This window comes from Homo sapiens, chromosome 3 (genome assembly GCF_000001405.40).
Source record: "Homo sapiens chromosome 3, GRCh38.p14 Primary Assembly".
Lineage (NCBI taxonomy): Eukaryota > Metazoa > Chordata > Mammalia > Primates > Hominidae > Homo > Homo sapiens.
Window position 1 is genome coordinate 172,947,966 of NC_000003.12, and position 20,972 is coordinate 172,968,937.

Consider the following 20,972-nt stretch of genomic DNA (forward strand, 5'->3'; position numbering starts at 1 on the left):
GAAGCATGCCTTCAAGATCTAGAAAACAATCTCAAAAGTACAAATATAAGAGTTATTGGCTTTAAAGAGGAAGTAGGGAGAGAGAGAGAGATTGGGGTAGAAGTCCTTCAAAATGATAACAGAACTTTCCAAACCTAGAGAAAAATATCACTATTCAAGTACAAGGTTATAGAACACCAAGCAGATTTAACCCCAAGAAGACTACCTCAAGGCATTTAATAATCAAATTCCCAAAGGCCATGGATAAATAAACGATTCTAAAAGCAGCAAGAGAAAAGAAACAACATGCAAAAGACCTCCGATACGTCTGGCAGCCGACTTCTCTGTGGAAACCTTATAGGCCAGGCCGGAGTAGCATGACATATTTAAAGTGCTGAAGGAAAAAGTATTTTACCCTAGAATAGTGTATCTGGTAAAAATATCTTTCAAGCACGAAGGAGAAATTAAGACTTTCTCAGACAAACAAAAGCTGAGGGATTACTTTTTCTCTTTTTTTCTTTTAATTTTCTTATTATTTTTTGAGACAGGGTCTTGCTCTGTCACCCAGGCTGGAGTTCAGTGCTGTGATCATGGCTCACTGCAGCCTTGACCTCCTAGGCTCAAGTGACCCTCCCACTCAGCCACCCGAGTAGCTGGGACTACAGATGTGTACCATCATGTCCAGCTAATTTTTAATTTTTTTGTAGTGATGGGGGTCTCGCTATGTTGTCTAGGCTGGTCTTGAACTCCTGGGTTCAAGTGATTCTCCCACCTCGGCTTCCAAAGTGTTGGGATTGCAAGGGTGAGCCACCACGCCTAGCCAAACTGAGGGATTTCATCAATACCAGACCTGTCTATTCATAGGACAGAATATTATACAGCAATGAAAATGAATAAACTAATGCTTTTTGCAACGTGGAAGAAGTTCATAAACAAATTATTGAGCAAAAGAAGTCAGATACAAAAGAGCATCTACTCTATGATTTCAGGTTTATAACATTTCAAAGCAGGCAAATTGAAGTCTAGAGTTTAGGAATAGATAGGTGGTAATGCTGTAAAGTAAGAAGATAATTACTCTGAACTTTAGGACATTAGTTACCTTGGTAGGGGGTAGGGAGTTGTTTGGGATTAATAAAGGGCCAGTAAAGGGTATCTGGAGAGCTGGTCATGTTTTCTTTTTTGACTTGATGTTTACTCCATAATAAATTAGTTAAGCTGTATTTTAAAATGGATTTTTTTATGTGTGTGATACCATAGAATGTTTTTAAAAATAAAACTACTAAAAGCAATAAATAAATAAATAAATGGGCTGGATGGGGCTCTACTTTAGTTGTAAAATGCAGTGATTATTTGTAGACCATAAGATCATCAAGAAAATGCTAATGCTCGTAAGGTGTAGGTTAATTGCGAGCCAAGTATTAGAGGAGAAATAAATAGGATTTGAATGCTGAATATACAAAGAAAAAACGTAACTCTACAAAGTAAAAAAATTTGTAATTCTGTGCAACATTGACTTCAAAATTTTTTTAAATTCTCAATTTAAAATTGTTATATACTACTGAGAGTTCAGTCTTCAGGGATTTTAATGCTTGGCTGCATGATTTATTAGATGGCAGCACCTAATGATTAACTATATTGTTGACAGAGAGGCTACATTATAAAACATAAGTAAAGTGATTCAGGAAAAATAAAGTGTTAACGGTTGAGCACTTACCTCACTCATATTGAGAACTCCGTCGCCTGCTAAAATGAGTTCTGCTTGTTTGGAAATGGCCTTGGGGCTTTCTTATGTAGACCGAGATAATGGGGATGGGTAAGAACCTGAGAAACTGGTAAGACCATCAAGAATGACAGTGGAAGAGACTCATCAATTCATGAGGGAATAAATTTAGAGGACGTATCTGGAGAATTTTGAGTAGGAAAGGAGATTGAGGGAAGCTGCCATGTGAATGTTTGTGTTTATGTACATGTGCATTTTACAAGGTTTTGCTGAGCATTATGGATACAATATCTACAATACCTGTTTAATTTCTACCACATACCCCATTACAACTGCCTACCCTACCTCAACTCATGGGTTTTCTTGAGAGGCTGCAGGAAAAATTTATATTACTTCCACTTATTTTTGGATTATTGACTGCTGTTTCTTTAAATGCAACTTGTCTGCCTTCTTCAGTCAGATCCCGTAAGACAATATGCTAAGCAGAAGACATTGTAGTTTCAGGGGTTTCAGGTGCAGTGGATGATGGAGACCAGAGGCAAACAGCGCTGTCACCTGCTACTGCAAAGGACAAGTGAACTGCTGGTTGAGAAGTGGTTAAATGGAGGTGAACTCCATTAGATGGAGCAATGCCAGAGCACCATACTTCCCATTGGGAAGATCAACGTTTTAATATTTTAAGAAAAGAGAATTTAGCCCCATAGATGAGGGATTTCTTTACCTTGGGAACAATTTTCTGATTCTAAGAAGAATTCTGCGGTGCAAATATTAGATGATTTATCGTCTTATAACCAAACTGGCTTTAACACTTTCATAAATATTGGGGCTGAAGACTGTTTAATTCTATAACTTTTTCTATTCAAGAAAACTAGTTACAAAGAGGAAAATAGTCTGATTTTGAAAACTCTTGATCATGATAAAATTACAATAATTTAAAGAAGAAAGAATAAAATGAGAAATGTTAACTTCATGTTTTAGACAACATAAGAATGTATTATTCTTACTGGTAAATGATGACTGAACAAGAACAAGGTTATAAATTTCAATGAAAAGTAATTTTTAAAGGTCTAATTTAAAACAATATATTATTTATGCGAACATACATATTTACTCTTGGGATTTAAATTGCATTGGAAAGACAAAATATGACTCTATCCACCTAAGTGTTAAAGTAATTGATATCTGATCCAGAAAACTTTTCTATTAAACATTACTAACCACAGATCCATTACTGAATATTTATTTATTTAGCAAATAAATCTTGATATTTTCATCAAGAGGAGACAGGATATGCGGATTGTATTACTTTATTATTATTAAAATACAACCATGCAAGAATAAGAACTATGCAGAATTGCATTATTTCATTGGAATATATGAATAAAAATCTCAAGCCAAATCTTTATAAATGAAAACATAAAAATTCTGGGGCTGGTAAATTATTATTTGTTTTATATACCCTGACTACTCTGTATGAATCAAGCTAGGTTTTTTTCTTAAATAATAAAAATGGATAGCTATACTGTGAAAAAAAATCAGTAATTTTTTTCTCCATGAAATATAATACAATACAGCTCTATTATAATACGACTTTAAGATTTTGATGGGTTTTATTATATTCCTGAAACAGAAAAGGATGCACAGTAAGTTCCTGAGCATGTATAAACCTGGTTGATCTACAAGGCAGATTTGAATTTTAACTCTCCCTCATCAGTCTCATAGAAATTATAAGGGTAATATAATCTTATACCTGCCACTGGAAGTGAATAGGTCTTCTCATGATAATCCACTGTAAAGTTCATAGATAATGCGATTGGCTTATTTGATAATTTAAAAAAAAAAAAATTTAAACCTAAATACATTTCAGAATGAATTAATTTTATACTTTTCCCCCTTGTGTCTGTTTTTCCCATGGATATCCCTGACAAGGGTGACTGTGAATTGGGGGCTGGCTGGAGAGAAAATACTGCCTGGAGGACCTCCATTGTGAATACTCTCCCTGCTCATCACCAGCACCTCTGCCAGCTTGTGCTGGGCTCATGGCACTGTCACGTGACCAGGGAGCAATAAACTCGACACTATCTATGCTTGATGAAGGTGACCTAAAGTTGGGCAGAGTTTCTGAGTTGGAGGTTTGCTTGCCAGCCTCCACTGGGTGAATTAAATATGCTAGTCTCCAAGTTTTAATGATAATAATTACTTCTCCAGCAAAACTTTGATAGGTAGACTCTTCATCCAAAATCTTCAAGGTACAGATTGTACGACCTTCATCTGTTGATTATTTATTTAGATGACTTCTATAATTTAGAAATTCTTACATATAGCTTCCATTTGTCTTGCTGCAGTGAAAGCTTCATAATTGTATTTTATCTCTTGGAGCATCAGTGTCTCTCTGGAAATATTATCTTTCTGTGGGCGGGTACAAACACATGTTTATGAGAACATCATCTGTAGCTGTCTGTGGAGGGGGGAGTGTGAGGTAGAGGAATAGATATATGTACAAATGCTGAGTGTTTTTGAGGATGGAGTAGGCTGCATGTGGATGAGTGTTTATTTGATCGAGTTAGCAAGAACTTGTTGTATACACTGTAGATGCAGTAGGAAGCTGCCTACTTGTTATGATGTAGGACAGAAAAATATGTTAAAGTTACCAGATTTAACAAAGAAGCTCCAAATCTCAGTGGTCTAAAGAGAGATAACTGTTTTTTGTTCATGTGGGTATTCAGAGTATTCGGAGGGTGACCATCTACATGGACATTCAGGAATCTACCTTCTTTTGTTTTGCAGCCTCTTTCCATGCTTCTCCCCACTCAGCCAGTGGATGGGGAAAGAGAATTTTACATAGGAGGGCTTTATGGGCCAGGCCTGGAAGTGACATATATCACATCTGTCCGTTTTTCCTTGACCATTACTCAGTCAGAAATCTTCATCTAATTGGAAGGGAGGCTGGAAATGGATTCTAGATGTATGACTGAGGTAAAAAGAAAAGAGTTTGGGCCGGGTGCAGTGGCTCACGCCTGTAATCCCAGCACTTTGGGAGGCCAAGGTGGGTGGATCATGAGGTCAAGAGATTGAGACCATCCTGGCCAACATGGTGAAACCCCGTCTCTACTAAAAATGCAAAAATTAACTAGGCATGGTGGCGTGCCCCTATAGTCCCAGCTACTTGGGAGGCTGAGGCAGGAGAATCGCTTGAACCCGGGAGGTGGAGGTTGCAGTGAGCTGAGATCTCACCACTGCACTACAGCCTGGCAATAGAGTGAGACTCCATCTCAAAAAAAAAAAAAAAAAAAAAAGAAAACAGTTTGGTAAACAACTAGCCAGTTTTTGCCATATTAAGTGACAACAACCTCTATTCCCAAACTGCTCTGTTTATCCTACATAATTCTTTTAATTAGAGTCAGCCTTCCATTCCACAATTAGAGCTTTGGTTTTTGTTGAAAATATTCTCTAGGAAAAGGGAAAAATATGGTCCAATATTCATGCTGAAGTATAGCTTACTAAAGTCGGATCCTTTCTTAGGAGCAGTTGTATTCTCAGTACCACCTAGAGTACTGTGTAAATAAATGTTCGCTGAATAAATGAATAGATGAACAACCCCCCTCCCACCTCAATCTCCATTGTAGATCCTCTTCTTGTCCTAAGGGTCCTGGCTTGCTGGAGAATGCAGCAAGGGAAAAATGGCAGAGTAACATAGCCAGTTGAAGAGAGGGCTACGACAACTTCTAGTCTTCTGTGGAATGGAGGGGATTTATTGAGTAAGACTCAGAAAGTGGCTGGGTTCACAAGCTAGCAGTCCAGCAGGAAGAGGAAATCTCAGAGAGTGGCTCTAGTTTGGGCCAACTGGTACGGTAAGGGTGGTTGGAGTACATACGAAGAAGCAACTACACCAATAAACAGAATGGAGAACCCATGTAGATGCCTTGGGTCACTTAATGGGCCACATAAATGAATCCATCAGGTCCTGCTCAAGACGCCAGAGCTGATCTCAGGTAGCACCAGCCGTCTGATAAGCAGCTGTACCAGCCTGCTACAGATTGAGAAGAGGATGTCTCCCTTATGTGTTCACTGACCCTTTTGGACACAGGGTATGCTTGAGCTCTATGAAAGCTAAACCAAACCACAGGGAGAAGAAAAACTCTTGAAAAGGAGAAGGAAGCTGGTGAATGTGGTTAGATAGGTTCTAAAGATAGATTAATTTTAGAAATGACTGGATTATACTGAGTGCCCTGGGATGAGACAGAATATATTTTGGCTCTGGGCAGAGCAAAGAAGAAAATAGATAGGTAAAACATATAGACTCTTATGTTTGCACACATCTGCTGTGTGACAGTCTATTCATACTGGTTGCATGAATATATGTTACAATAAATAGCTGAATAAATTTTCATCAGGATAGAAGCTTCTTAAATTCTATCTACAAGGCTGATAATAGGAAGATGCATTAGTTTGTTCTCACGGTGCTAATAAAGACATACAGAAGACTGGATAATTTATAAAGGAAAGAGGTTTAATTGACTCACAGTTCCACATGGCTGGGGAGGCCTCACAATCATGGTGGAAGGCAAAGGAGGAAGAAAATCACGCCTTACATGGCAGCAGGCAGGAGAACTTGTGCAGGGGAACTCCCACTTATAAAACCATCAGATCATGTGAGACTTATTTACTACCATGAGAACAGTATGGGGGAAACCACCCCCATGATTCAATTATCTCCACCTGGCCATGCCCTTGACACTTGGGGGTTATTACAATTCAAGATGAGATTTGGGTGGAGACACAGCCAAAAGACATCAGAGGATTCTGGTTTTTGGAAACTACCACGAAAACAAAGTGTTTACTCTTCTAGGCCCTATCTGTCTTTATGTTACTTACTTCTTAGCTATTACCTTCGGCTACTGATGCAGCTCTAATCACCTCTCTGCATCTTCTGGGAGAGGTGTCCAGAGCTAAAAATAACACCTGACCTTTCCTCTTCCCATGCTGTATGCCCTCAGCCACCTTGGAATTGCCTGGGGGAAAAAGAGTTATACCTCCAAGGCTGTGCACATACAGTTAGTAACAGTTCTTTCACCATTATTCCAGCAATGGCTTTGGGGAAACCCTTTAATAATTTGCAACAGAGGTAAATAATGTCACCAATGCAGTAGCATTGTTAACCCAAAGCACAGTTTCCACAGAGCAAAGAACTTTATCAGTCCCAACGAAATTTAAATTCTAGACTCCTTTCTCTACCTCACGTTCCTCCTCCAGAAGCTGTCTTTTCTATCAAGATTCTCTATAGCACTAGCATACTCTAGCAGTTTGTAATTATAAGATAATAGAAACAATCATTAGTAACTTATAATTATCTTCTCTCCCAAAGTGTAAGATTCTTTAGCATGAATCGTCTTGCCAACAGATCATAATTCATCTTGATAACAGGTTTGATAGAATTACATGAGACATGAGTCTGGCTCATTAATGTTATTATTGTTTTTAAACTCTTGGCAGTGGTGCTTCCGAACTATTAATTAATCTTCATGACTGCTCTGTGAAATGGGTTAAATATAACTAAACTTATTCTACCAGAAGAGAGATTGGCAAACTGGTGATCTCCTCAATGAATCTCTCTTCGTTACCAATGGATCTGGGAGTGGAAATGGAAATAGCTGAATCGAACTCATTTTTCCATAATGCTAGATAGATATGACTTTTATGTGCTGCTAGCATACACCCTCCAAAAAATCCTTTAAATATCCATAAGAATAATGAATAATTTGTAACAATTAACAAAAAATATGAGTTCGAAGACTTTTTTTTTAACCTGCTTTCTTATGAAATGCTCAAACTAAGTAAATCAGCACATATGGTTATTATGGCCCGTATTATGCTTCTCCTCTTCCCTTTCTCTGCCCTCAAATTACCATTGTTCCTTAGGGATTTACTATTCTGTTATCACTAGTGGGATTTATTTGATATCTTTCCCTTGAAGAGCGTGAGGGAATGTGGAGAAAAGTACGAAATCCATAGGACCTACATTTAATGGTTTTGTCACATGGAAATAGTGTAGCTTGATGGCATGTTCACGGGTTCAAATCCAAGGCCTGTCTAATTTGCTGTGCATCTTTGGAAAAGCTATGTGTCTTCTCTGGTTATTGTTTTCTTGTTCCTAAATGGGAAGCACCTTACCTCATTGATTATGGGAATATCAAGAGATAATGAATGTAGAGTGTCTGGCACCTTAATAGTGATCAATAATGGAGTACATTATTAACATTATAATTCAGTGACTCAGCCGCAAAACTCTGAGAGAAGGGATGAAGGGGCCTGAATAGAAGGATGTGATATCAGGTGTATGCATTTAGAGATTTTCTTAACACGGAAGTCATTGTTGAGTAGCTCCTAATTTAATGCCAAAAAAATCCTCCTCTTAAACCAAAATAATGCTTGATGCACAGTAGGTAGTACAAAATATTTTTTGCATGAGAATGAGAACAAGTGATTTCCAAAGATGAAAAAGGGGAAAAAACCTAATACCAGTTGTTGTGTCCTCTATGGGACTCTTAGCTATCCAGATCTCATTTGGATACCAGTGATTCAAGAGCATAAGGAAAGAAGAAGGTTTGAGATGTGAGATAGATGGGGGGATAAGTAGAAATAGTAGGGACTGGAAAAAAAATCCATCTGCAGGAAAATACTATAATCATCTGATTATCCTTTACTGGTAAAGGATAAGGGGAAAGATGGCATTTTACTACAGGTCATTCTTCCATTTTTTAAAATGTTAGATTTTCTAGGTTTTATCCCTACTTCTTAAAATATAGAAATATGAAAGTACAAGAAATATTGTGCTAGAACTATAAGGCTATCCTTATTTAAAACCTTAAAAATTTCTTTCCGTTTCAAGTCATCAGATGAAAACAGTGTACTCCTAAAACAGAAACAATAAACTAATAAACCAGAAAGAACCCTGTATTTGTTTTATTTGAAACAAAATATCAGCTGATAACTTGAAGATATTGAATCTTACCTGTGTACATATACTCTGCATATGCAGGATGAGTTTTTGTGAAAGCATCTTTTACTTTTTCTATTTTATCAGCTCTTATTTTTGTCGCAAATGGTGTGTACATAACCGAGAAAGATTCAGCTCTGGTGATGGCTTCCTCAATCATGGCCTAAGAGGAAACAAACAACCCATTTGGCATCAATAACAATATATGACTTTTTAAGAATGTAAAAAATATAATTACCTTTATGGATGACTTAAAAATCTATATACTGTACTGCAAAGATAACATATTTTGGTCTTGAATATTCATTAGAACAAAATTTTAATTAGTTCTGGAAATACTATTTCATATTAAGAAAACCAATTAAATGAAGAAAGTTTGTAAACAGGCACCTCTAAACTGAGCTTGTTTTAAGATAAAAATATAAATTCTGTTTCCTAAGGTGTCATGTTTTACTTGATTTTAAAAGTCAAATTCTTGAGTCTGACATTATAATTAACTTACTCTTGAGCAGACATTGGTGAGCAATTTGTATATGGAGAGATTTCTTTTAAAAACTAAAATATCTAAAGTATATTCTGTAAATAACACGGCAAACTAGACAGACGGTATTTTTTGTTTTCTTTTTCCAATACCTGGGAAAGCCTTTTGGAATTAAAAAAAAATCCTTCCTCAATTTCCTCCCAGAAAAGCTTCCCTTCCCTCCAGATCACAAGAGCTGTTTAAGGTGGCTTTGGCTATTTAAGAATTTCTTTACATTATTTTTGCTCATGTACCATTCTTGATAAAGCCCTGCCATCATCCTCAGCTTCCTGTTTTAAATAGGTCCATTACTATTTGTAACAGACCTAAAAGAAAGTTATGTGAAGTTTTAAGAGGAACTTACTCCTTTCCTACAACTTTTCCTTCTAATGAGGCTTGAACATTGAATAAAACGTGGAAGTGTCTATGGTTACCTCAGTTTTTTAATATGGCATAAAAGCATATTATAAAACAATCCATTTTTATTTATAGGAATGAAATTCTCCCAGACAACTAAGGTACTAACAAACAATACGGAAAAATAATAGATATAAGCTTTTCAACAGAGAAAAAACCATTTAACAAACAACAATTTACATTATTACCCTCACAGTATTTTGAAAACAAGTTTTCCATTGATAATAAAAACAACAGGGAGTGGATTTTAAACTGGGAAGTCTAAATAAACTTGTTCATTGCTTGCTTCATTTCTTAGTGACTTCAAATGCCTCTATGATCATCTACATTGCTTGTAAAAGAGCAGCTTTGCAATTATTTTCTGGATGCAAAGGGTCTTCCTTTCTCTGAGACTAGCTTAAAATTATGTAAAAATTAGTGGTGGACAAATTTCTGAATGAAATTCAACAAACTATTGGATAATTGAATGCTAGAACTTGCATGGCCTTCAACATTGTCCTGTTCAAGTTCAAGGAACTGAATGGGGAACAGAAAATACATAGCGGTTCTTCCAAACCCAGAGCCAGCCCTCAGATGGAGTTAGTGATGGAGTGCATGGCAAATAAAGGAAGAGACCAGACAAGGAATTGCTGGACGTAGAGACCTGGATGCCAGCTTTGGAAGGCTAATGGGGATAATGCAGGCAGCAGGTCTGGGATTCAGAGTTGTGGATTAGGAACTCAAATAAGGTGTTTAGGCACCAAGTATTAGCCCTTCAGGAAAAATGAAGGTATTTTATATTGAGGAGGAGGAATAATTCCTCCAGTTTGGTGCTTACCTGTGTTCACTGCTGGAACTGATCCTGGGATGGCCTGTCCAGACCATCAAGCGCGTGGTTGCACATGCCTATGTGCAGTGATGTGTCAAGGAGGAAAGCTGCTTTAGACCTCAGTTCTAAGGTCATGGCTGACTTTACTGCCTTTGTAAGCTATTGGTGCCTGTATCAGTTTCCTAGGGTTGCTACAACAAAGTACCACCAACTGGGTGGCTTAAACAACAGAAATTTATTTTCTCACAGTTCTGGAGACTGGAAGTCCAAGACAGTGGTGTCAGCAGGTTTGGTTTCTTCTGAGGGTCTCTCTACTTGGCTTGTAGATGGCTGTCTTTCCCCATGTCTTCACATGGTCATTCCTCTTTGTGTGTGTGCACGCACGTGTGTGTGTGTGTTCTAATTTCCTCTTTTTATAAGCATGCAGTCATATTGGATTAGGGTTCACTCTAAAGCCCTCATTTTAATGTAATTACCTGTTTAAAGATTCTGTCTCCAACTGTGGCTGAGTGTGGGCTAATGGAATGCAGTCTAACTCTGAGGCACTAGGGGTTAGGACTTCAACAGATGAATTTTGGAGAGGTACAGTTCAGCCCATAACAGTTCCTAACTCAGAAACAGCTTTCTGATGGTCTCTGAATATCTTGCTGAAGGGTATTTTGCTTTAATTTCTGGATTAACAAATCTAGCAAAGGTATAATCCTCCAGTTTGCTTCCAGAAAGATATTAGTGATATCCTAGTCAGGCTAGGATAGAAGAAAACGCTCTCTCCACCCCATTTCTTTTCCAACTGCTGGCAGCTTAACTGACTGCTGGCAGGGTAGCTTGGCGAAGCCATCTCACAGTGGGGATGGTAAGACTCGTGCCCAAGAACCTACACCAGCTTTTAAAAAAGTGGCAGAAGTGTAGGTTTTCATGTGGCAGCTTGATCTGCTCATTGAAGGATCTGTACTCTTGGCTTAATGCTCAAGGCATTGCCTTCAGGCCTTAACAGGGCTCTCACTCAGGAGGGTATGCGCTGGAGAGCAGCCTCCCTCTCTCCCCACTGAGAACCAATAGAGATGGGTTCTTCCATGGATTCTGCTCTCCAACCTGAAGACGATGGGTAAGGAAGTGGGTGAGTAAATAGAGAGAGTATGTAATTTACAAATAGAAATTGTATTCTCCATGGAGATGCTTTCTTAAAGGAAATTATTATAGCCCCAGGAAGAAATAGTACAACATAGAGTAGAAATGAGAATACAGATGACCCTTGCACCAGATCTTGAAACATCCTTTTGTGTTTTAATGTACTAATATTTTTTATTCTTCTAGAGACAGACAATCTTGAGGCTTTGAGCCTGTCCTACATTGCTGTTGTAAAGAAATAGAGTAATATAACATATATATATATATATATATATATATATATATTTAGCATTATTGGTATTGAATGGCATTATTGAATAACTAGTGAAATCTAGAAAAAACTTAGCCTTTGTATTCAATTAAAATAGTAGGATTTTTTTTGACTGTTTTGGTTTAGATACCAAAAGATTAAATTTTCACTTTGTGATGATAATAATTTGGCAATTTAGAGTTGGACTTGTCTTTTTAAAGAGTCTAATATGTGTAAATTAAAAATTATACTTAAGGACTTTAAAAACTAGAATGATTTGATATAATCTTAGACATTAAAATATAAAAGATAGATTTAAATTTACTTTTTATAATAAAAGATTTTCCTTGATTTTGCGAATAAAGGAAGAGACCAGACAAGGAAATGCTGGTTGTAAAAAATAAGCTATACTAAAAATGGAAGCAGATTTCAAATGATACTTCTTAATTTGACATAAATATTCTGTAATTGAATCATTCTTTCTGGACCTGTGAACTTCTCTGATGTCAGTAAATGTTGCACGTGTGCAGAAAATGGAGAAAACAATCAGTCCTTGTGCCCTGTTGTTAAATGTACATTGCTGTTAATTATGCTTTCTCTGCTGTTACTCAAAAATAAGCTTTGAAATTAAGTGTTTACCTTTGGGAGTTCTAATAACTCTCTTTTGTTACTCTCACATTTATCAAGTTGTAAAGCTCATAATTTAGTTACATAAGCCAAGAGTGTAAGTGGGCAGCTCATTTTCTCTACAAACAGTAACTTATAATAATTTCTCCTTGTACTGTAGCTAAGTAAAAAGAACCCCTTGCTACCTTAGAAATCAACTTGCCCAGGATGACTGTACAAAAGAGACCATGGGACAGCAAGGAGGAGAGATATTCCGTCAAGAGGAAAAGAAAAGCAATAAAAGTAGGGGGAAACATGACCAGCAAAAAAGAAACAAAATTCATCTCCCTCATCTAAACTCAAGAGGGCCGATTCTTCTTGGTAAAATTTTAAGAGCACTCAAGGTAGCCAGAATTAAGCTGGCAGAAACTATAAACTTCAAACATTTTCGGGATGATAGAATTATGTAACTTACTTTCTTTCTCTCTTTCTTTCTCTCTCTCCTTCCTTCCTTCCTCCCTCCCTCCCTTCCTTCCTTCCTTCTCTTTCTCTCTTCCCCCCTCCCTCTCTCTCTCTCTTTCTTTTTCTCTTTCTCTTTCTTTTTTCTTTCTCTTTCTTTCTTTCTTTTTCTCTCTTTCTCTCTTTCTTTCTTTCTTTCTTCTTTCTTTCTTTCTTCTTTCTTCCTTCCTTCCTTCCTTCCTTCCTTCCTTCCTTCCTTCCTTCCTTCCTTCCTTCCTTTCTCTTTCTTGTGGAGGAGTTGGGCAAATTGTAACTTTTGAACTATGTGCTTGGTGAAAGTGGTTTACTAAGAATCTTGTCACGTGAAATTAGAAAATGTGATGATGATTATTATAGATTATCATCAAATTATTCCTTTCTTGCTTCCAGTCTTAGGGTTGACTATAATCATAGTAAATTGATTTATTTAGAAGATTAGATCTGGAAGGAACCTTAGGAATCTTACAGCCCAACTTCTTGAGATTTGGAGAGGCTTAAGAGACTTTTCTAAAGGCTTTTCTTTTGAGATGGAGTTTTGCTCTGTAGCCCAGACTGGAGTGCAGTGGTGTGATCTCGGCTCACTGCAACCTCCCACTCTGGGGTTCAAGCTATTCTCCCAGTGCAGCCTCCTGAGTAGCTGGGACTACAGGCGCCCACCACCATGCCCGGTGAATTTTTGTATTTTTAGTAGAGATGGGGTTTCACCATGTTAGTCAGGCTGGTCTTGAACTCCTGACCTCAGGTGATCCTTCTGCTTCGGCTTCCCAAAGTACTGGATTACAGGCGTGAGCCACCATGGCCGGCCTTCTAAGGACTTATTAAATGACTTTAAAAAATTCTATAGAATTTAGAATTAGAGTCTCTAATGTTATATTTCACTTTCTTTTTTGAAAATTATGACTTTACCTCGCAGGCACATAATAGGCATTTTCCAGACTCCCTTACAATGAATTGTGGCAGAATGTGGACCAATGGAATGGAGGTGGGAGAGACATTAACTTTCTTCAGGCCTGGCCCATGAAACCCTGCCTAGCATAATCCCCTATTTTCTTTTCCTGTCAGCTGCCTTAAGAAAGAGGACTCAGCCAGGCACGATCCTCACGCCTGTAATCCCAGCACTTTGGGAGGCCAAGGCAGGCAGATCATATGAGGCCAGGAGTTCGAAACCAGCATGGCCAACATGGTGAAACCCTGTCTCAAATAAAAATATAAAAATTAGCCAGACATGGTGGTGAGCGCCTGTAATACCAGCTACTTGGGAGGCCGAGGCAGGAGAATTGCTTGAGCCCAGGAAGTGGAGGTTGCAGTGAGCAGAGATTAAGACCACTGCACTCCAGCCTGGGCAACAGAGCAAGACTCTGTCTCAAAAAAAAAAAAAAAAAAAAAAAAAGGACTCACAGGTGGGAAGGAAGATGGCACTACATAGTGGAAGCATTGTGGGTTCCCAAGTTGATGATTAGAGTAGATCCAATCAGAAACATCCATGTTGGACTATGAGTGAGAAATCAAATTATTTTTCTATTGTTTTAAATTTCTGAAATTTGGGGTTGTTTGTTATAGTAGCCTACCCTAACATACCAATACTAATAAATAAAATTTGAAACTTGGAATCTCTCTCATAATCCCTTTTTATCTACTAATACTTGTGTATTATTTTGAAAAGTAAAGAAAAACATGGCATTTAAAGAGATGAAACAACAACCTTTCATTTAGCAGTGTGATAAATGCTTTTATATAGGCTATTTCCTTTAGTCCTCATAAAATCCATCTGGGCAGGTATTACTAGTGATTGAATATTACAGTTTTATTGTTTTATTTTCAGAGTTAACATTATTAAATTCAAAGGAAGCAGTACTATACTTGCAAGCTATAAATGATTGAGGTAGGTACCTTTAGTGTTTAATGGCTAATAAACCTCTTTGTTATTATATTAATAATAATGCAATTTTAAATGATGATAATAATTTTCTAGAAAATGGAAAAATAAAATTTTGTGAGCTACGTTTTTCAAATTCAATTTTTAAAATATACATAGTGGTTTAATTTGGAGGATTTCAATTTTCTTGAAATTTAGAATTGATTTTAAAAACAGATTTTCATAAATATGCTACCTTGAGACAACCCTATAAACACAATCACTGTGTCGTTTATGTAATAGTCAAGATTTACATTTTTATGATGATTTTAGTATAATGGTGTGTCAGAATAGAATATGTAATAATTGACTGCTTGTCCCTGCTGCAATGATCAACATTTTGATGCTGAATATTACCCTGGGTTTATGGAAGCTATTTTATGAAAGAACATTCGCAATAAGTTTCATTTTTTCTTAATATAAAAGAATATTTGGCAGCTTTGCCATTACCTCTGTCAGCCCAGTGATGTGAAAGTTATAAATATTTCATGCAGTTTAAATAAAAATATTTAAATTTTACTTGCATTATTTAGAAATCACTAAAAATTGCATAAACAGGTTACTTGTAGCAAGGGAAATGGACTTTTATATAGCTTTTTTGAATTCTGTACTTTGCAACCCTTTCTGTTTAAAAATAGTCATAATAAATATAATATTAAATTTAAAGTATTTAATTTAGTTTTGTAGTGTGTTACTGCTATATAATTTTAGAACATATATATGTATATACACATGCATGTAATTGTGTAAATATATTATTTGAGCTACTGTCTACCATTCAGTATGTTTAGGGTTAGAGTTTTCATTATATGTGATGCATCCATTAACTAAATAACTTCTGCACTTAATGCCTAAAATTTACCCTGCATTAATTTTTAATCATTTATATTTTATAGTAAAATGTTATTTCCATGGTCCTTCAAGATAGAACTGAGGACATGGAAAGGATCTAAAATATTATTTTATAATCACTAAACTTTATAACTAAGGAAACTAAAGCTTGATGAGTACTGGTGATTCTTCCAAGGTTACAAAATTAGAAATGAAAGCAAGATGAGAGCCCAAGTCCCCTAAGCCAATCTTTCTTCTACAGTGAGCAACATTTTATTCTTTTAATTAGATTGTAAATTCTCGGAAGTATAAGATCAAGTTTTGATTCCCTTCTTCTTTTTTCATCACTATCTACTTCTGTCTCCACAGACAGCTAGAATTTGACTCTAGCACAAACAGAGAAACAAACAGACCACATCAAACCATATCCAGATCAAGATCCTCTTTATAACAATTCTAACACAAAATGGAATATTCATCACTCACACCTACTGGCCACAAGTAAGACTGTTTTGTCCACTGGCCCCTCATTAGATTTAGGACATGCTATCAGCTGGCATGCCAGTGTTGAAAAGAAACATTTACAAAAATTAGATGAATGGCTTTTTGATAGGGGGCTTAAATAATAACATGCTTAGGTCAGTCTAGCTTATTTAATGGCAAAACATATATAACTTATAAATAGAACTTAAAGTATGTTCTTGTTCTATAGACCCTGAATAATTTTCTGCTTGCACATTAGAGAAATGCCAGCTGAAAGAAACTCAGAGTTACAAGTGTGGGTTTCAGCAGCCTCCATACTCTTTAGGATGCCACAGAGCTTTTATTCTTGATGACTTAAAATGAATCACCAAAAGGTGTCACAGAAATAAATAGCTACATTACCTGCAATTAGTTCATAAGGACAACTGGGTATTACTAATGAGCTTTAGCCTCTGTGTTCAGTAGTAAATGTCAACACAGCTTGGGACCCTTTTTTGTCATTGTGCATTTCATCTCTATATTTCATTTAGTTGTATGAAGGTAGGTATTTCTTTTCCTAACTGTATGTTGTTTTTTGATTGTATTTCTTGACCGTGGTTTTAAAGTGGGGTATGCCTTGCCAGTACACACAACTAATTAATGGCAGGGTTGGGACAAAGACCTGGTGACTTCGTTCTCAAACTTGTACTGCTTTTTCTACTCAGAATTTGTTTTATCTTTTGGGCTATTATTTGAGATGACTTTGAGTGGAAAGATCAGGGATACCTCTGAAGAAGTGTATGTTGGAGAACAAATTAAAAAGATTTGAGGACGTTTCATCTGGAGACAAGATTTAGGTTTCAAGGACTAACTTTCTGTCATCAGGTAGCAACGTGTTCTCAGATTCTCTCTATGCAGACTTTATTTGGCTTACTGATAAACCTGAAAAACTCATTTATTTATCAAATGAGTCTTCACCTGTGCGTTGGCGAAGTGCTGTAGATAAACTATTCTGTTAGTTTGCTAAAACAATGCTGGAAAGCAAGCATTATTACTCCATTTTATAGTTGAGGAAAACTTAGTCTGTAAAGAGCTTCTACAACATGGTGAATTTCACACAGCTACTTCATGACAGAGATGGGATTCAAATTAGTTACATCTTAGGGCCTCTTCCTCTGAGCCATTATGCTATGCTGACTTGTAAATGATGTTTACAGCCCTGTCCAGCACTAAGATAGGATTCCAAATATATGAAAGGTTCTTGCACAGAGCTTCAGAGGGCAGAAGTGGAATCTTTAGCAGGAAACAGAGGCTTCTAAGAAGGGAATTGTTCATCTTGGAAGCTCGTAGCTCATGACCTTGGTGGTGTGCAGATCAAGAGAAATGAGTGTATCTGGAATCTAGTAAGAGGGATGACTGTGCTGTGGAAATATTACTCACAGTTTGTTCTGGTCTTCTCTTGCCTCCCCGTAATTTCTTTTCTTACATAAGTTTCAGCTTTGCCTGGCAATCAGACACCTTATATTTTTCTTTATTATTTATTATTTTTTTTTTGAGATGGAGTCTCGCTCTGTCACCAGGCTGGAGTGCAATGGCGCGATCTCGGCTCACTACAACCCCCACCTCCTGGGTTCAAGCGATTGTCTAATTTTTGTATTTTTAGTAGAGATGGGGTTTCACCATGTTGGCCAGGATGGTCTCGATCTCTTGACCTTGTGATCCGCCCGCCTAGGCCTCCCAAAGTGTTGGGATTACAGGCGTGAGCCACTGCGCCCGGCCTTTTCTTTATTATTTCTTTAATTTGTCTGCAATTAATGTCTTCCAGGTTGTGGCCTCTCCCAGAAGACTTTATATTTTAAAAAGAACAGATCACAGAAGGATAATTTTATGGGGCAGGTGGCCTCCTATACATGACTTCCCATGCTTTCATCCTAACATCAAAATGTCTCAGAGGGGAAATAATTGCACCTGTGAGAAATGCAATGGACTTGTCAAAATACATGTATAATATATAGATCCACATACATTATATACCTATATATGTTTCTATGTGCTTTGTGACAAGAAAAAAATCACAATGTCACGTAATATTAAATGAAATGAGATAAAGTGCTAACTTCAAGAGACCTGCCACTATACTACCAAGTTCTCTGTCCAGTCTCTGGTTACATCTCTGATTTGCATCTTATATGAACGTTACAGCAGGCCAACCTCCACCTGATGAAGAATAAATAATAAATGAAGTGAAGGCTTGCCAGCTAAATATGATATTTTCCATCCCTTTATGTTTGGGCTTGAAATAATCCTCCTGAGGTTTTCTGGAAGTTATTGTTCCTCATAGGTTGTTGGTTCCTGGTGTAGGCTGCACTATATATATATAATAGCACCTATGCTTTCTTGAATAAAAATAGGTTAGCTTAACAGTTACTTTATAATCCTGAGAAAAACGAAATCATGCCACATGTTAAAGGCTGACATTTGAAATGCCAAGGTCTCATTATTTGGAAGGGAGAAAATTATCATGAAAAAGAGAATGATTCAGCCCAGGTACAGATAAGTAGGCAGTCTTCAAAAATTAGCGAAGAAAATACAATCATATGAATTCAAGAAAAGAGGAGAATTTATTTTAATTGGTGTGCAATACCACCAAAATGATGGCTGAGTATAAATAAAAACATTAAAAGCTTTGAGCTTTACAGATTATCTTATACCTGAGTGAACACAGCTTAAAAAATTTCATGATTTCATGGAATAGTTATTACACATCTCCAACTGCTAAAAAAAGTGACCTCAATTTCTCTGCAAGCTTGTAAATCAATAACCCATAAAAATCTATGGAAAATAGAAAAGATAACCATAAAACCCTCTAAATTTGGTTTTGCTCATAACAAGTTTTGATTTTCAGATGCAAACAAACACAGAGAAGGAGTCAACATGTTTGTAAATTTAGACTGGAAGGCAAAGTCTCTATGAAAATAAAATAACCTCATGGAAACCATGCAGAATAGCCACAGGCCTCCTGGGAATCAAATATCTAGACCTAAATTTGTTAAAGTAAAGAAAGGCCTGAATTGCTTTACATCTCTAAGCGCATATCTTTCTCAAATGAGAGAAAATGAAAAGAAATTTGGAGGTTAGTTTTTTTCCTCCCATAGAAACCATCAGAAACCCAAAAGCTTTTTAGGAGGCAAAAAAAGTAAAGAAAAAGCTGCATTTAAATGATGTGGGCTTCTGCCGTCACCTACTAATAATACTGAAAAACCAAACCAGGAATATTTTGAAAAAATAGACATTTCTGAAGAAGATACAAAATAAACATTACTCAGGGGTCACTGAAGATTAATTGTCTTGCTTTTTATGATGCCTGAATTTTTTAGTTTATTTATATGTTATTTTCATAGTGATGGGAGTCTCATTATGTTGCCCAGGCTGGAGTGCAGTGGCTATTCATGGGTGTGGTTACAGCCTACTATAGCTCAGAGATCCCCAACCAGGCCACAAAGCAGGAGGTGAGTGGCGGGCCAGTAAGAAGCTTTATCTGTATTTACAGTTGCTCCCCATTGCTGGCATTACTGCCTGAGCTCCACCTCCAGTCAGATCAACAGTGGCATTAGATTCTCATAGGAGCACGAACCCTATTGTGAACTCCTCAGGCGAAGGATCTAGTTTATGTGCTTCTTATGAGAATCTAATGCCTGATGATCTGTCACTGTTTCCCATCATCCCCCGATGGGACTGTATAGTTGCAGGGAAACAAGCTCAGGGCTCCCACTAATCCTACATTATGGTGAGTTGTATAATTATTTCATTATGTATCACAATATAATAGTAATGAAAATAAAGTGCACAATAAGTGTTATGTGCTTGAATCATCTTGAAACCATCCCCCCACCCTAGTTTATGGAAAAACTGTCTTTCACAAAACCGGTCCCTGGTACCAAAAAGTTGGGGACCACTGCAATAGCTTTTAACTATTCCTGGACTCAAATGATTCTCCTGCCTCAGCCTCCTGAGAAGCGGGGACTGTATCAGCTCTGTTGCCTGAATTTTCTAACAAGCCTTAATTATCAACGTGCAGAGAAGGCTGATGTGCAAGTGAAGCACGCTGCCCCTTGCAGGGCATATTCTGAGGCACTGGCAAGGATTAGTGCCCTCAAATTCTTGTATGATCTGGATGCCTGACATTGTGTTGGTAGCAGGGGACTAAGCCATTTATTTCTCAGTGAGAGTTGGGGCTTCAAAGGCAAAAAACCTCCAGAGAGGTGGCATTGTGCTGAAATTCACACTGAGGCAAAGCAATTGAATGCTCAACTCATTTTCGAAAAAAACTGCCTATTGGCATGTACATGTTGGGTTGAAGTGGGGATAGCGTGAGGAGAAGAGAGGAATGGGGTAGTAAAAAGCAACCTTACCTACTTGACAGTCCGTCTAAATCAATGTCACTATGTATATGTATATAGTAAAATCTACACATTAATTTATATATGTGTATGGTTCAGGTTCTTGCCTCTCTCCCCCCTTTCTTCCCTTTCTTTCTAATGCCTGCAGCACTCACAGAACATCAACAGAAGAACTACACAAAACTATACAACCAGCAAATAATGTCACGGTCACTATCTCCTTCATGGGAACACTCAACCTTGGATCAAATACATGCCTCAATTACATCTTTCATTTAAAAGTGAACCTCTCCTACTGGCATACTACCTCAAATAGCATCAAAGCAAAATGAAACACAGGCAGCATTTAACAACGCTGGTAACCATGGAAACATATCATTAAAGAATGTATAAACAGGAATGAATAATTAGATGAGAAATTTATGTCTACATTTATCTTTT

General features: G+C 37.1%; 1 protein-coding gene and 1 long non-coding RNA gene across 4 annotated transcripts in view; one reads left to right on the forward strand and one right to left on the reverse strand.

Moving 5' to 3' along the window:
- SPATA16 (spermatogenesis associated 16) overlaps positions 1-20,972 on the reverse strand; it is a 251,879-nt gene that overhangs the window by 58,609 nt on the left and 172,298 nt on the right. For all 3 annotated transcript variants that reach the window (NM_031955.6, XM_006713778.4, XM_017007308.3), the window contains exon 6: positions 8,712-8,859. In NM_031955.6, the coding sequence (NP_114161.3) occupies positions 8,712-8,859 (148 nt within the window). The remainder of the gene's footprint in view (positions 1-8,711; positions 8,860-20,972) is intronic.
- LOC105374221 (uncharacterized) lies at positions 12,559-18,199 on the forward strand. Its single transcript, XR_001741022.1, has 3 exons — positions 12,559-12,829; positions 14,746-14,805; positions 17,957-18,199. It is a non-coding gene; the product is annotated as an uncharacterized LOC105374221 (long non-coding RNA).